This window comes from Homo sapiens, chromosome X, assembly GCF_000001405.40.
Source record: "Homo sapiens chromosome X, GRCh38.p14 Primary Assembly".
NCBI classification, from domain to species: Eukaryota; Metazoa; Chordata; class Mammalia; order Primates; family Hominidae; genus Homo; species Homo sapiens.
In genome coordinates this window covers 130611107-130625571 of record NC_000023.11, presented here as the reverse complement: position 1 = coordinate 130625571, position 14465 = coordinate 130611107, and the positions used below count along the sequence as shown (strand labels likewise).

The 14465-nt window shown below is 40.4% G+C and overlaps 1 protein-coding gene across 20 annotated transcripts in view; it reads left to right on the top strand.

Moving 5' to 3' along the window:
* The window catches only part of ENOX2 (ecto-NOX disulfide-thiol exchanger 2), a 280885-nt gene extending 277638 nt beyond the window's left edge, over positions 1-3247 (top strand). For all 20 annotated transcript variants that reach the window (NM_001382521.1, NM_001281736.2, NM_001382520.1 and 17 more), the window contains one exon: positions 127-3247. In NM_001382521.1, coding sequence (NP_001369450.1) covers positions 127-258 — 132 coding nt within the window. In that variant the 3' untranslated portion in view covers positions 259-3247. The remainder of the gene's footprint in view (positions 1-126) is intronic.

Genomic DNA, 14465 nt, shown 5'->3' with positions numbered 1-14465 from the left:
GGAGGAGGTTAAACGCCCCTGCAGCACACACACAGACACATCAGCATTCTAAAGTAGGCAACACTGGGAAAGAAGATTAGGAAAATAGAACTGGTTTTGAATGGAGATGTTCTCTCTGTCCCACAGATCTGCACCAGCGATGTGGAGTGTCTCATGGGTAGACTCCAGCATACCTTCAAGCAGGAAATGACTGGAGTTGGAGCCAGCCTGGAAAAGAGATGGAAATTCTGTGGCTTCGAGGGCTTGAAGCTGACCTAAATCTCTTTGCCTAACAACTTGGGATCCTGAAGATAAATATGTGTTGGACAAGCATAGAAAGTGATTTATATTTTTAATGGTTTTCAAGTGGAAGTTCCTTTGAATTTGTCAGTTCATTCCTGGAAAATCTTTTGAGTTAAAATAAGGATCCTAGGACAGCACCTCGAACTACAGGCCCTAAAGAGAAATTGCCTCAAACCACAAGTGCTGTAACTTCCTCCCCTTTCTGTCAATTGGTTGTCTTTAAATATTGCAAAAGTCCTGATGCTAAACAGTATTTGGAGTGTTTTCAGTGTCTGTACTACTGTTGTAGACCTTGGTATTTTTTTAAACACTGTTAACTGAAATGTTTTGATGATTTGTATGTGATTTGTGTTTCTAAACTTCTCTTTACATTAATGTTGTTACTGGTGAAAGGCATGAGAGCAGCACTAAGTCCTCTGTGTAACTGCCATTGTCTTTCCAATCCCCAGTAGACCAGTAAATAAATAACACATCAGTGTCTTCTAGAAGGTGCCTGACCAGGTTCACCTTTTAAACGACAAAGCATGGTTTGTGGCTTTTTGCAAAATTACTATGAACCAAAAGTTGACAAATGTTCCAAAGTTATTTTCTCTAACATATCACATTAAAGATCTGTTTCAGAATTGTAAAAAGTACATCTAGATGTGTTTACAGAAAGCAAGTATCCAGTATGACTGGCATGTGTTCATGCTATTCAGAATCACTTGTAAATAGTCTGCTTTTAAAGGAGGGCATGTTCAGTTTTCTGTGAATTAAAATATGCTCATGTGTGGGCACACACGCACAAACACACACACGCACGCACACAGTGGCAGAAGGGATTTATATTAATATTCTTTCCCCTCTGGCCTTCTTACAGTCTGTTGGTCCCTTTGCTTCTGTTGTCAGTGTGTTGAATTGCAAACCGAGTACTGCTGTAAATACTATGTTTACTTCATGCTGAATGTTTGCAAAGACTTGATATAAGTATTAATAGTAATGAATCAATGAATAAATAATGAGCTAGGGTTTGTGAGGCTTTCTACAAATAGGTCAGCTCCACCTGGAGTGCGAATTGCCAGAGACACCTTGGTAGTGCCCATCGGCAAATCGCAATGGCAGCATGTGAGTGGACCATTCAGAAACTTCTGCTTGGTGGAAAGTAAACAGAGAGGATGGAGGTTTGGGGCGAATGTCCTGAGGCAGAGATGGTCTTTATTGTGTGTGGTGGTGGTTGTGGTATTTATAATAATGCAAGCATACCCTCCCTTGAGTCTCAATTGAAGATAAAAGAATGTACTGAGCAAGCAAAGCCAATGGAGAGTATTTCACAAAAATACTTTGTAAATGAGATGCCAGTAGTGTTCAAAGTTGTATTTTTAAAAGATAAATATTCCTTTTTATACCTCAGTTTTGTGTCCTGTTTTTAATGACTTACGCTCTAAGTAATCCATTAGTAGTTATCTCAGTTCCTTCCTTTGGGTTACTAGAATGTTGGAAAAAGATGCCAAGTCTGTCTTGACAACTGGAAACAGGGTTCCACAGCAGCCCATTCGTGCTGAAAACTGGCTTCCCCCTGAAGCACCCTGCTGTGGCACCAGCAGGAAGCTCAGGTTAATTTTACACTAGCTTGCTCACTGATGCATCTCTCATCAATGCTACGGAAGGCTTTGATTCATCAGTCTCGGGCTCTTGGAATACCTAATTTTAATAATATCTATGAAATCAAGGGAAACTTTCCATTTACAGTTATTTCTTGTTTAAATAAACTAAATTAATTTTTAGGGGAGAGCAGTAGGAAAAAGAGCTAATGCATGCGGGGTTTAATACCTAGGTGATGGGTTGAGGTGCAGCAAAACCACCATGGCACACGTTCACCTATGTAACAAACCTGCACATCCTGCACATGTACCCCGGAACTTACTTAAAAAATAAAAGAAAAAAAATCAAACTCCTTACCATGATATTAATACATTAAAAAAAATTTTTAAAGCAACAGCTGCCACACCTAAATACCTTACTCTCCTTCACTTAATCAACTTACATTGCAGATTGTCTGTTTCTGTTACTCCTGCCAGTTTAGTATAGGTATACTCCTCCCAGTTTGCTTGAATATACTAGTTTTTATGGTTAATTTTGTGTGGCAACTTGGCTAGGCTATAGTGCCCAGTTGCTTGGTCAAACACCAGTCTAGATATTGCTGTGAAGGTATATTTTAAATGTGATTAACATTTAAGCCAGTAGACTTTGAGTAAAACAGATTACCCATTATAATGTGGGTGGACCTCATCTGATCAGCTGAAGGCCTTAAGAGAAAAGACTGAAGTCCCCTGAGGAGGGAATTCTGCTTCGAGACTGCCTTTGGACTCAAAACTGCAACATCCAACTCCTGCCAGAACTTCCAGCCTGCCGGCCTGCCCTACAAATCTCTAACTTGCCAGCCCCCATAATTGCAAGAGCCAATTCCTTAAAATAAATAGATCTCTCTCATATATATCTATATATAGATAAGCATAGATATATACATATGAATATACATTATATTACACAATCAAATTGTGGCACATACCATCTCTCACAAACCTTTTCATCCATCATAGAAATCTATTAATGAAGCTGCTTTTTCCTACAAAGTCTCAGTGCTATTTATGGTTCTGTTGTTCCTCCAGAATTTTGAAATATTGCTGTTTTGTTATGTTTATGAGATACAGTAGTTAGCGTTTCTTCAATATAATAATGAATGGAAGGTTTCTTTTGTTTTACAAATGATTTTTTTATCTCCTTCCCTAGTCCTGTGACATCTCTAATTCTGACTTTATTATTACCAAGTTGCTTGTTAAATGTCTTCAATGCAAATGAAGGTTATTTTTCATAGAAAATTAAAGACACATCTGCATTCAAGTTATATAGAGTTTTTTTTTAATTTTGGCCCCAAAATGTATGCTTTTCATATAAGGCAGAATAAACTGTATTATTTGAAAAGATAGCATAAATGTGTGAGAAGTTTTAACTCGCCCAGTAGAACTGTGTGAGCCCTTGGGATTCTCAGCTGTCTTAGATGGTACATCATGTAGATATGGCTTCATTTTCTACCACAGTTGCTACCATCTGCTGAGCACCTATTAGGTAGTCATGATGCCCAAAGTCTCTGTCTGTGTGTCTTCAGGCGAGTCACATGGACACAACAAGAGCTTCAATTTCCTTACAGGCAAAATTAAGAAGAAATAGTACCTACCTCACAGAATGGCAGGAAAGAGTGAACAAGATAGCGTCTGCAAATTGCTCAACCAGTGCTTGGCCCATAGTGAGTTCTCAATAAGAGGTATGATTGTGATTCAACCAAAGTTCATGACCTTACTCACATTTTAAAAAATGTTTCTGTGGGCCAGGAGCAGTGGTTCACGCCTGTGATCCCAGCGCTTTGGGAGGCCGAGGCAGGCAGATCACTTGAGGTCAGGAGTTCGAGACCAGCCTGGCCAACATAGTGAGACCCGCCCCCCCCGCCCCGTCTCTACTAAAAATACAAAAATTAGTCAGGCGTGGTGGCAGGCACCTGTAATCCAAGCTACTTGGGAGGCTGAGGCAGGAGAATCGCTTGAGGCAGAGGTTGCAGTAAGCCGAGATCACTCCACTACACTCCAATCTGGGCGACAGAGTGAGTGAGAGTCTGTCTGCAAAAAAAAAAAAAAAAAAAAGTTTTTGTATTCATACATAGAATTGTGGGACCACATCATGTTGCTGGACTTCAAGAGACGAAATTCAGCTGTTTATACATATTCTAAACATTTACTCTGTCCCAAACACTATCAGGCACAATGGGACACAAAAGGAGTATGGCTGTCCCCTGCCTTCAAAAAGCTAGAAGGGTAGCTGCGACACACTGAACTTAAGTCTTTCACCCTTTAGCCAAAGCCATAAAAGCTAATTGTGAAAATATTCAGTGCTGACTACCCATGAATTGTGTGGATAAGGTGGTAATGACCTCGTGCTCTTGACACCTGAGCTATTACTATCTATGCCCCCACCCTACCTCCAGAGTATAAGTTGCATGAGAGTATGGTTCTCGTTTTTCTTGTTTACTGCCATATCCCCAGAACCTGGTACGCTGTAGGTGTTTAGTAAAGGTTTGTTACATTAGTATTTGTGTAGCATTTTAAACTACATTCAGGCTGGGCGCAGTGGTTCACGCCTGTAATCCCAGCACTTTGGGAGGCCAAGGTGGGCAGATCTCCTGAGGACAAGAGTTAGAGACCAGCCTGGCCAACATGGTGAAACCCTGTCTCTACTAAAAAAATATAAAAAGTAGCCGGGCATGGTGGTGCACACCTGTAATCCTGGCTACACGGGAGGCTGAGGCAGGAGAATCGCATGAACTTGGAAGGCGGAGGTTGCAGTCAGCCAAGATCATGCCACTGCACTCCAGCCTGGGTGACAGAGTGAGACTCTGTCTCAAAAAAATAAAAAATAAAAATAAACTACATTCATATGCACTAATAATGATAAAAGCTAACATTATTTAGTGATTCCTACTTACCAGGATATATGCATGCATGTATATACATATATATACACACACGTATATGTATATACACACATATATATATTTAATGTTTACTACAATGCGAAAAGTAAATGTATTAGCCTCCATTTCAGCTGAGACTTGGAGATGTGAAGTAACTTGCTTAATTTTTTTTTTTTTTTTGAGACGGAGTCTTGCTGTCACCCCGGCTGTAGTGCAGTGGCGTGATCTCAGCTCACTGCAAGCTCCGCCTCCTGGGTTCACGCCATTCTCCAGCCTCAGTCTCCTGAGTAGCTGAGACTACAGGCACCCACCACCATGCCCAGCTAATTTTTTTTTTTTTTTTGTATTTTTAGTAGAGACAGGGTTTCACCATGTTAGCCAGGATGGTCTCGATCTCCTGACCTCGTGATCCGCCTACCTCGGCCTCCCAAAGTGCTGGGATTACAGGCGTGAGCCACCGTGCCCGGCCACTTGCTTAAGTTTTTAAGAGGCAGAAATGAAATTTGAATCTTGGTCTCTCCAATCACAAGCTTAAAACTTTCCACTGCTCCAATATTTTATTTAATCTTCATATCAACCTAATTGGTAATATTATTATAAACCCCATATTGTTCATTCATGTGCCATTATAGAGCACCTGATATGTGCAAGTCTTAGTCCTGGAAATTCAAAGGTGAACACAACATGTCCCCTTCCCCCAAGAGCTTATATTCTGGTAGGGGAGCCTGCTAAATGACACAGTCATGGTGCCCCAAGTCACTTTATAACACTGTCACTTCTCTGAGCCTTTTTTAAATCTTTAAAGTGAAAATCGTATATTTCCCTTGAAGTTTCATTTATGAGGTGTTGATCAATGTAAAGTGCCCAGTACTATGCCTGGCAAAGTAAGTGCTCAATAAATAGCTATAATCATTATCCAACCAATAGTCATATCAACAATGCTTTAATGAAACCAGAGCTACCTTCATAGTAATGGGCCACACAATAACTTAAAAGAAGGAGACCTGCTGGCTCAGAGAAATTCAGGAGATTTTACTGAACAATGCTCCATTAGAGTTAGGTAGTGCTTGGCCCAAGCCAAACACAGTGGGGAAACTTCCTTCTACTGTCTTCTGATACAGTCTAAGTATCCTTCCAATTCTACCCACTCCCATTACAAGATAGACCACATCCCATTAACAAGAAGGCCAAGGAGGTCCTATCTCCTCTACCATTTCCCAAGATTCATAACATCAACCCAGTTTTTCAGTTTGACAGTAAGCTTTGAAGTTCTAAGCTTGCTTAAGTTTTCTATCTGGGAGGATGACCTCAAAGGCATACTAAAGCAATTAATTATTGGGGCAACAGAAGGAAAGAAAAGAATTGATTATACAAACAGGTATGCACATTCAAGGCTATAGAGCCCTATGGAGATGACATCAGATCTTGGGTGGAAATGGTATACAAGACACATTAAAGGGTGTTCTACCGAACTGCATTCACTCCAAGTCTGTTTGAATATGAATAGTCCTCTGTGGCATCGGACCTCTGAAACCTTAACTTGTTACTATTCCTCAATAAATACCTTATATGATGCTTTAAGCTGTTTTCAAAGCAACTCCGTGCACAAGCATTATGTCATTTGATCTTCACAACACATTGTGAACTAGCAGGGGCAGATGACTTCCTCACCATTATTGCAGCTAAGGAAAACAAGTCTCAAAAGATGAAGAGCTATACCCTAGGTCGCACAGCTAAGTGGATGATGGAGCTGGGATGAGAATGTAAGATTCCTGAGTTCTCCCTATCTCTACCCCACTTCAGCTCCAGCCTCTGCCTGTTATAGCTGAGGGAATATAAAGTAGGGGTTCTGAATATTTTTTGGTGCCATGAACCCCTTTGTAAGTCTGGTGAAGCACATGAACTCCTTATCAGAATAACATTTTTTAAATGAATAAAATAAAATACAAAGGAAACCAACTACAAATGCTCCTTGACTTACTATGTGGTTACATCCCAATAAAACTATCGTAAGTTGAAAATGTCATAAGTCAAAAATGCATTTAATACACCTAACCTGCCAAACATCATAGCTTAGCCTAGCCTACCTTAAACATGCTCAGAACACTTTAGCCTACATTTGGGCAAAAAATTAACACAAAGCCTATTTTATAATAAAGTGTCGAATATCTCATGTAATGTGTTGAATACCATACTGAAAAGTGAAAAATGGAATCTGTTTCTGTACTGAAACAGAAAAACAGCACCAAACAGAAACCTGTATGAGTACTCAAAATACAATTTTTACTGAACATACATTGCATTCACACCATTATAAAGTTGAAAAATGTAAGTCAAACCATTGTAAGTTGGGGACCATCTGGATATTGAAATAGTATACTTCTCAAAATATTTTTAAAACATGTTTGTGATATAGTAACATATATGCTCCTTTAACACCTGAAATAGCAATATGAAACAGCAACAAGCCTAATAACCACTTCAGTTCCGAAGTAGTGATGAGCATAAACAGCTCAAGAAATCCGCAATATCATGTGATATGATAATATCTGTGATGCTGATGAAAAAGGCACAGGTACTGCTAACATCTCTGTAGATTGTAGCCTACATTTATAAGGAAAGAAAATGCCAATTTTCAGTTAGAGGTTAGTAAAAATATGAATTTAACTTTTCCATCCAAATTCACACACTAAATTCTACCTGAAGTCTCTATGTAAAGAAGCACCAATAGCAGGAAGACTGATGAAAGGTAAAGTGAGAGTTCCCAAAGTGGTACCAGGAGTAACTTCATTAAAAGCGTTAATATTTATAAATTACTTAGAATAATGCCCATCACATGGTAAGCTCTATAGAATCACTTATTATAATAAAATATATTTTAAACAATAAGATTTATAAATGATTGGCATACTAATTCTTTGCACATTTTGAAATTCTAAGTCAATGCATAAATGACAGGATATGCCTTCAAGTTTGCATTTCCATGTGAAGGAGTGACAGATGAGCTTCAATATGAGCAAGTATAAAGTACTGCATTTAGGAAAAAATGAGCCAAACACTGCTTACGAGATGTTAGGCTCCAAACCATCAGTTCTAGCACAGGAAAGGAACTAGGCGTTGTTGACGTCCCTGAAGACATCTGCCCAATGGGTGGTTGGTATCATAAAAAGGCAAGAAATTCCAAGCAGAGTTAAAAAAAGAAAGAAGAAAGAAAGAAAGAAAGAAAGAAAGAAAGAAAGAAAGAAAGAAAGAAAGAAAGAAAGAAAGAAAGAAAGAAAGAAAGAAAAACATAAAGCATCATCTTATCCCCTTTTAAGAAAGTAAGTTTTGTGCCCACACCAGTAAAACAGTCTGTTTCATGTGGCTGGGCCTCAAGATGTGAAATTCAATATTTCAATTCATATGTGGTTCAAGTGCTTAATCTGTCTTAAGACATTCTGCCAGACAATAGGGGATGTACAGATGAATCTGAGACATTATTCTTGAGGAGTATGAAGAGGAACTCAAAGAATCAAGGGTGTGGATGAGTTTTAATACACTAATGAAACATATTCTACCCATTTGAACCAGTTCAGGAGAGAAAAACCTGGAATGCTGAATTCAGTGTTTTTCACTTAATACAGCCTTCTCTCTGTCTTTCTCTCTCTCTCTCTCTCTCTCTCTCTCACACACACACACACACAGACACACACACACACACACACACACACACACACACACACACAGAGCAGTGCATGCAGCACTTGGTAAAACCAGTATTACAATCATGCCTTGTTTATAGTATTTAATATAAGTGAGCTTACCAGATAGTTGAAACGTTCCCCTTCCAGTACCAATCTTTTAAAAATCATTTTAAATTAAAAAAAATTGTAAACATTTCTGAGATACTTTACATCCTTTCCCATGTTGTTAAAAGGTTCCAGACCTGTCCTGACTTCTCCTCTGCATTATGGATCCATGCTGCCACTGATAACTTTAGTTATTAGATTGCACAGTCACAGAGGTATTAAGCCTGAAGTTGAGGGTTCCATCTTCATCCTTCAAGCCAAGAAGCCATCGAGCTATTTTCCCTTTCTCCCTGGAAGTATATCTGTTTTCATATCCAATCTCTCCTCTTTCTTCTTGTTTGCTTCTTGTCTATTATGGTTAGGAACCATATCATCAAGCTCCTAAAGAACTTGGAGTTAGGTAAGAGACAATTAATTGAGTAAAGAACCAAAAGTTAAATCAGAAACTATCATTGATTGATGACTCAAAGTTTTACTGACAATTCTATAACCTTCATATCCGCTCCACTTCATACCACACCTAAAGACAAATCTCCTTACCCTGGCATTCAGGGCCTTTTACGATTTTGCTCCAGACTTCATTCTAATTGTATTTTCCACTTCTACTACTCTTCAAATACACTACTTCAGCCAGACTGAACTCCCTGTGCCTCCCCATACATTCACAAGTCTAAAACCTACCCTTCCTTCAAGGTCTAACTCAAATGCTACCTTCTCCATCAAGCCCTCCTGGATTCCCCTCACTCCCTCTCCATCTCTGAATGACCTCTCCGTTTCTTCGAGCCCTCAGAACCCTTTATCTGTACCTTCATCATGTGACTTAACCACTGTCCACCTCATAGTGTGCTCATGTACATGTCATCCTCTCTGCAAGGACCATATCTGATTCATTCATCCATGCATTTACTTAGCAAATATTTACGGAGCACCCACTACATGCTAGACAACTATTCTAGGCATTGATGATACAACAGTAAGCAATCAGACAAAGCTTCTTGTCCTTGAGCTTATGCTCTAGGGATGGGGTAGGGGGCTGTTTCCATCAGCTTGGGCAGCCATAACAAAATGCCATAGACTAGGTAGCTCAAACAACAGAAGTTTATTTCTCAGTTCTGGAGGCTGAAGAGTCCAAGATCAAATTGCTGACTGATTTGGTTTCCTGGTGAGGGCTCTCTTCCTGGTTTGCAGATGGCCACTTTTTTACAGTCTTACATTGAAGAGAAAGAGAGAAGTTGGGGGAGAGAAAGAGAAAGCTCTCTAATATCTCTTCTTATAAGAGCACTAATCCCATCATGAGGGCCCATCCTTATGACCTCATCTCCCCCTATTTACCTTTCAAAGGCCCCATCTCCAAATACCATCACTTTGGGGGTTAGGGCTTCAACATATAAATGGGAGGGGGCACAATTCAATCCATAGCACAAGTAGACTAACAATAAACAAAGTAAATAAATTATATAATATATGAGAAGGTACTAAGTGCTAAGGAAAAAGATAAAAATGGGAAAGAGGATAGAGAATATTGGTGGGCCATATTGAATTTTAAATAGGGTGATATTTGAACACCTGAGGAAACATCATTTGGGCAAAGATTTTTTAAAGGTAAGAGAATGGATTACATATATATCCGGAAGGGAAGTGTTCTAGGCAGAGGGAAATGCAAATGCTAAGGTCTTGAAGCAGGAACTTACCTAATGTATTCAAAAACAGCAAGGAGTACAGTACACTTGGAGTATAGGGGGGAAAACGGTAACATAGGAGAAGATGAATTCAGAAAGGTAACAGGAGCCCAGATCCAATAGGACCATATAGGCCACTGTAAGGACTCTAGGGTTTATTCTGCGTGAAAACTGGGGCCATCGTAGGGTTTTGAGCAGAGAAGAGACATGATATATCTAGCATTTTCAAAGGATCACTCTGGATGCTGAGTGGAAAGTAAACTGTAAACGGTAAGGGAGGAAATAGGGAGACCCGTTGGAGGCCATTGCAATAATCTAGTTAAGAAATAAAGGTGGCCGGGCGCAGTGGCTCACGCCTGTAATCCCAGCACTTTGGGAGGCCGAGGTGGGCGGATCACAAGGTCAGGAGATCGAGACCATCCTGGCTAACACGGTGAAACCCCGTCTCTACTAAAAAATCCAAAAAATTAGCCGGGCGTGTTGGCGGGCGCCTGTAGTCCCAGCTACTCGGGAGGCTGAGGCAGGAGAATGGCGCGAACCCGGGAGGCGGAGCTTGCAGTGAGCCGAGATCCCGCCACCGCACTCCAGCCTGGGCGACAGAGCGAGACTCCTTCTCAAAAAAAAAAAGAAAGAAAAGAAAAAGAAAAAAGAAAAGAAAAGAAATAAAAGTGACTTTGGACCACGGTGGTAGCATTGGAAGTTATGAGAAATGGTATGATTTTAGATGTATTTTGAACATGTGAATGAATTGAATACAGGCTGTAAGAGAAAGAGTGGAATGAAGAATGAAGCTTCTTGGCACAAACCAGTGGAACTTACCAAGATGGGGAAGACTACAGAAGGAGCAGATTTGAGAAGGAAGATCAGATTTGGAGATGTTAAGTTTGAGATGCTGAATCTCTTTCAGGTGGAAATGCCAAGTAGGCAGTTGAATAAAGGAATCTGAAGGTTAGAAAAGAGGTCCAAGTTGCAAATATACAGTTGGAAATCATCAGCTTTCAGACGGTATTTAAAGTCGTGAAACTAAATGAGATTACCAAGGAGATGACCAAGGTCCAAGGACTGAGGCCAGGAGAACGCCAAGATTAAAAGGCCAGGGATATAAGAAAAACCAACAAGTGACACTGAAAAGGACCATGAGAGTGTAGCATCCTAGAAGCCAAGTGAGGAAGTGAACAAGGATGGAGTGAAGGTGTCAAATGCTGCTGAAAAGGCAATTAATGTAAGAAGTGAGAAATGACCTCTGGATTTAGCAATGTGGAGGTCACTTGTAAACTTGCAGTTTCAGTAGAGTGGTGGAGGGCACACGCCTGACAAGTAAGTTTAGGAGAGTATAAAAGCAGAAGAATTGCAAGCTGAATATGCATAACCCTTTTAAAGAATTTGGTTGTACAGAGGAGCATAGAAATGGGGCTGAAACTGAAGGGGGAAATGGAGTCAAGAGAGCAGTTTTTAATATGGAAAATGACAATACCATTGCATGTTGTTAAGAATAATCAAGAAAATAGGGAGAATGATTGACAAATTTCAAAAAGGGAGAGCGTGAGCTCGGGAGAAGAAATGAAGAAAAGAAGAAAGGAAGGGGCAAGTGAAAAGGAGAAGAAAGGAGGCAACAAAGGAGAAAGAGCCAGAGAGAATTAAACTTCTAAAGTTGGGCATACAAAAAGTAATTCCATCTATTAGGACCCTGTCTCTTGCCTAGGGATGGTGGTAGCAGGGTCCTTGAACTGGCTTAGGCAAGGGTGATTTAGATAATTGCTACAAAGATTGGAGGTATAATGTGAAGAGAATGAAATCTAACTACAAGGGTACAAGTCCTGACTCTGTGACCTTGAGCAAGCTACTCAGCCTCCCTCTGCCTCAGTTTTTTCATGTGTAAAATGGAAATGATAATACTATCTTCCTCACAGGATTATTATGAGACTTAAATAAGTTATTTAAAGTGCTTGAAGCATGATGTCAACATGAAGTATCATCATTACTGCTTTAGGGAATCAAAAGCCAGGAATCTCCCTGGGCCTCAGAAACAACTACACTGGTGCCACAGAATGAGCCAGGCCTCTGCATGTCTCTTGTCACTATTGCTATCTGAATTATAACTTCATTCTTTCTTCTTGCTGCCATCACCAACAACTCCAGAGCTTCACATTTTAACAAAGCCAACTACACACAGAGAGAGAACTGAAGTATACTCTGACCTCAAATACAGAAACTCTGAGGAAGGAACTCATTGACCAACTTGATTCAAGTGTCCAGACCAGGTAGCCATGAGGCTAGTGTCGTGTAACAAAATGGACGCTCCTGGGAAAACTATGTAAGTGGACTAGGACGCAGAGCAGTGCCCAAGAGAAACCAAAGTGGCTGGGCAGGGGTAGGGGAGGAGAGGTAGAAAATTGAGAAGGAAAGTGCCAGTCAACTAGAACAATAATTGCCACACCCTCCTCTCTCTATATCCCTCCTCATGCCACCAACAAAGAAAGGCAAGCACAGGGAAAGTATAAGGATTCTCCATGAAGATTCTGCTAATAAGCAGAGGCTTCTCTCTTGTCCAGAACCTTGATAAAAATTGTAGCCCAGGCATTAGAAACAATGACCCTTCTAATTATAGGGAGTCTCCATGAGGCCTGCATGCTGGTGTACTTGTTTTTTCTGGTCCCAGCCCTAGGTAAGTCACAATCTGGGTATAAGACACCCACCCCTTCCTCTGCCCAGAATATTTCAACAAGACTGCACACCTGAGGGCTGGTAGTGATCTCTAGACTAGTTGAGTCTGAAGGCTGATGAGCATTCTTTCCTCCTTTCCCAATCTCCCATCGTATGCAGTATCTGATGCTTGCTTAAGCCCCCAAATTCTAAAACCACAGTCTTGCTGCTATGGTCTGAATCCTTGTGTCCCCTTGAAAATGCATATGTTGAAACTCTAACCCCCAAGGTGATGGTATTATAAGGTGAGGCCTTTGGGAGATTAAATCATGAGATCAAAGCCCTCACGATTGGGATTAGTGCCTTATAAAAAAGAACACAAAGAGCTAGTTAGCCTCATTTACCATGTAAGGACACAGCTAAAAGGTGCTATCTAGGAGGAATGGCCCAAGAGAGCTGACTTGCTCCCTCTTGATGTGAGGACAACAGCTAGAAGACACCATCTATGAACCAGAAATTGAGCCCCGCCAGACACCAAATCTGCCAGCACCTTGATTTTGGACTTCCCAGCCTCCAGACCTGTGAGAAATAAATTTCTGTTGTTTATAAGATGCCCGGTCAGTGGTATTTCATTATAGCAGCCCGAACAGACTAAGACATCTGCCAAAATGCCGGATAATTAGAATGCCAAGAAGCAGCATGGAGAAAAACAGCTGGAAGCCAGGGAGTCAAACAGAAGGCTATTAAAGTTTGCCAGGCATAAGATGATCAGGGCTTGGACCAGAGTAATGGAAATAGGACTAAGGAGGAAAAGAGAGATTTGAGAGACAGTCTACAAAAAAAAAAAAAAAGTAAATGGAAAAGGGGTCTCAGAAGTATAACATAGTTATATTTATCCAGTACAACTTAGTGTCCAAAAAGAAAAGGGTAAGAGAACATTTCAAAGATAAGAATGTGATTACCAATAGACAGTGCAGCAGAGCTGAAAGAAAGAAGAAATATTAGATAATATAAATTTAAGCTGTTTGCCACTGTTTGCTGTGTCATTATTCTCAGGTAAACAGGAGTGAAAATGTATAATTTTTTTTAAAACTACCAAGAATTGCAGGCCTAGCCTCCCACACTTGGTAATTTCTTCCATAACTTCTTCCATTGGTTATGAAAGAGTATTGATGAAGGTGGGGAGTATGGGGGACTACACATCCATTATAAGAATAAATATAAAGTGTATTAGAGTTCTCCAGAGAAGCAGAATCAATAGGAGATGATACACATGTTTTAAAAATAAGGAATTTGTTCACATGATTATGGAGGTTGAGAAGTCTCATGATCTGCAGTTGATTAGATGGAGACCTAGGAAAGCCTGTGGTATAGTTCCAGTCCAAGTCTGAAGGTCTGAGAACCAAGAGAACCAGTGGTGTAAGTTCTGGTCTGAGGGCAAAAGAAGACCAGTATCCCATCTCAAGCAGTCAGGCAGAGACAGAGAGCTAATATAATGCATTCTCCTCCACCTTTTTGTTCCATTCAGGCCCTCAATGGATTGAATGATGCTCGCTCACACTGGGGAGGGCC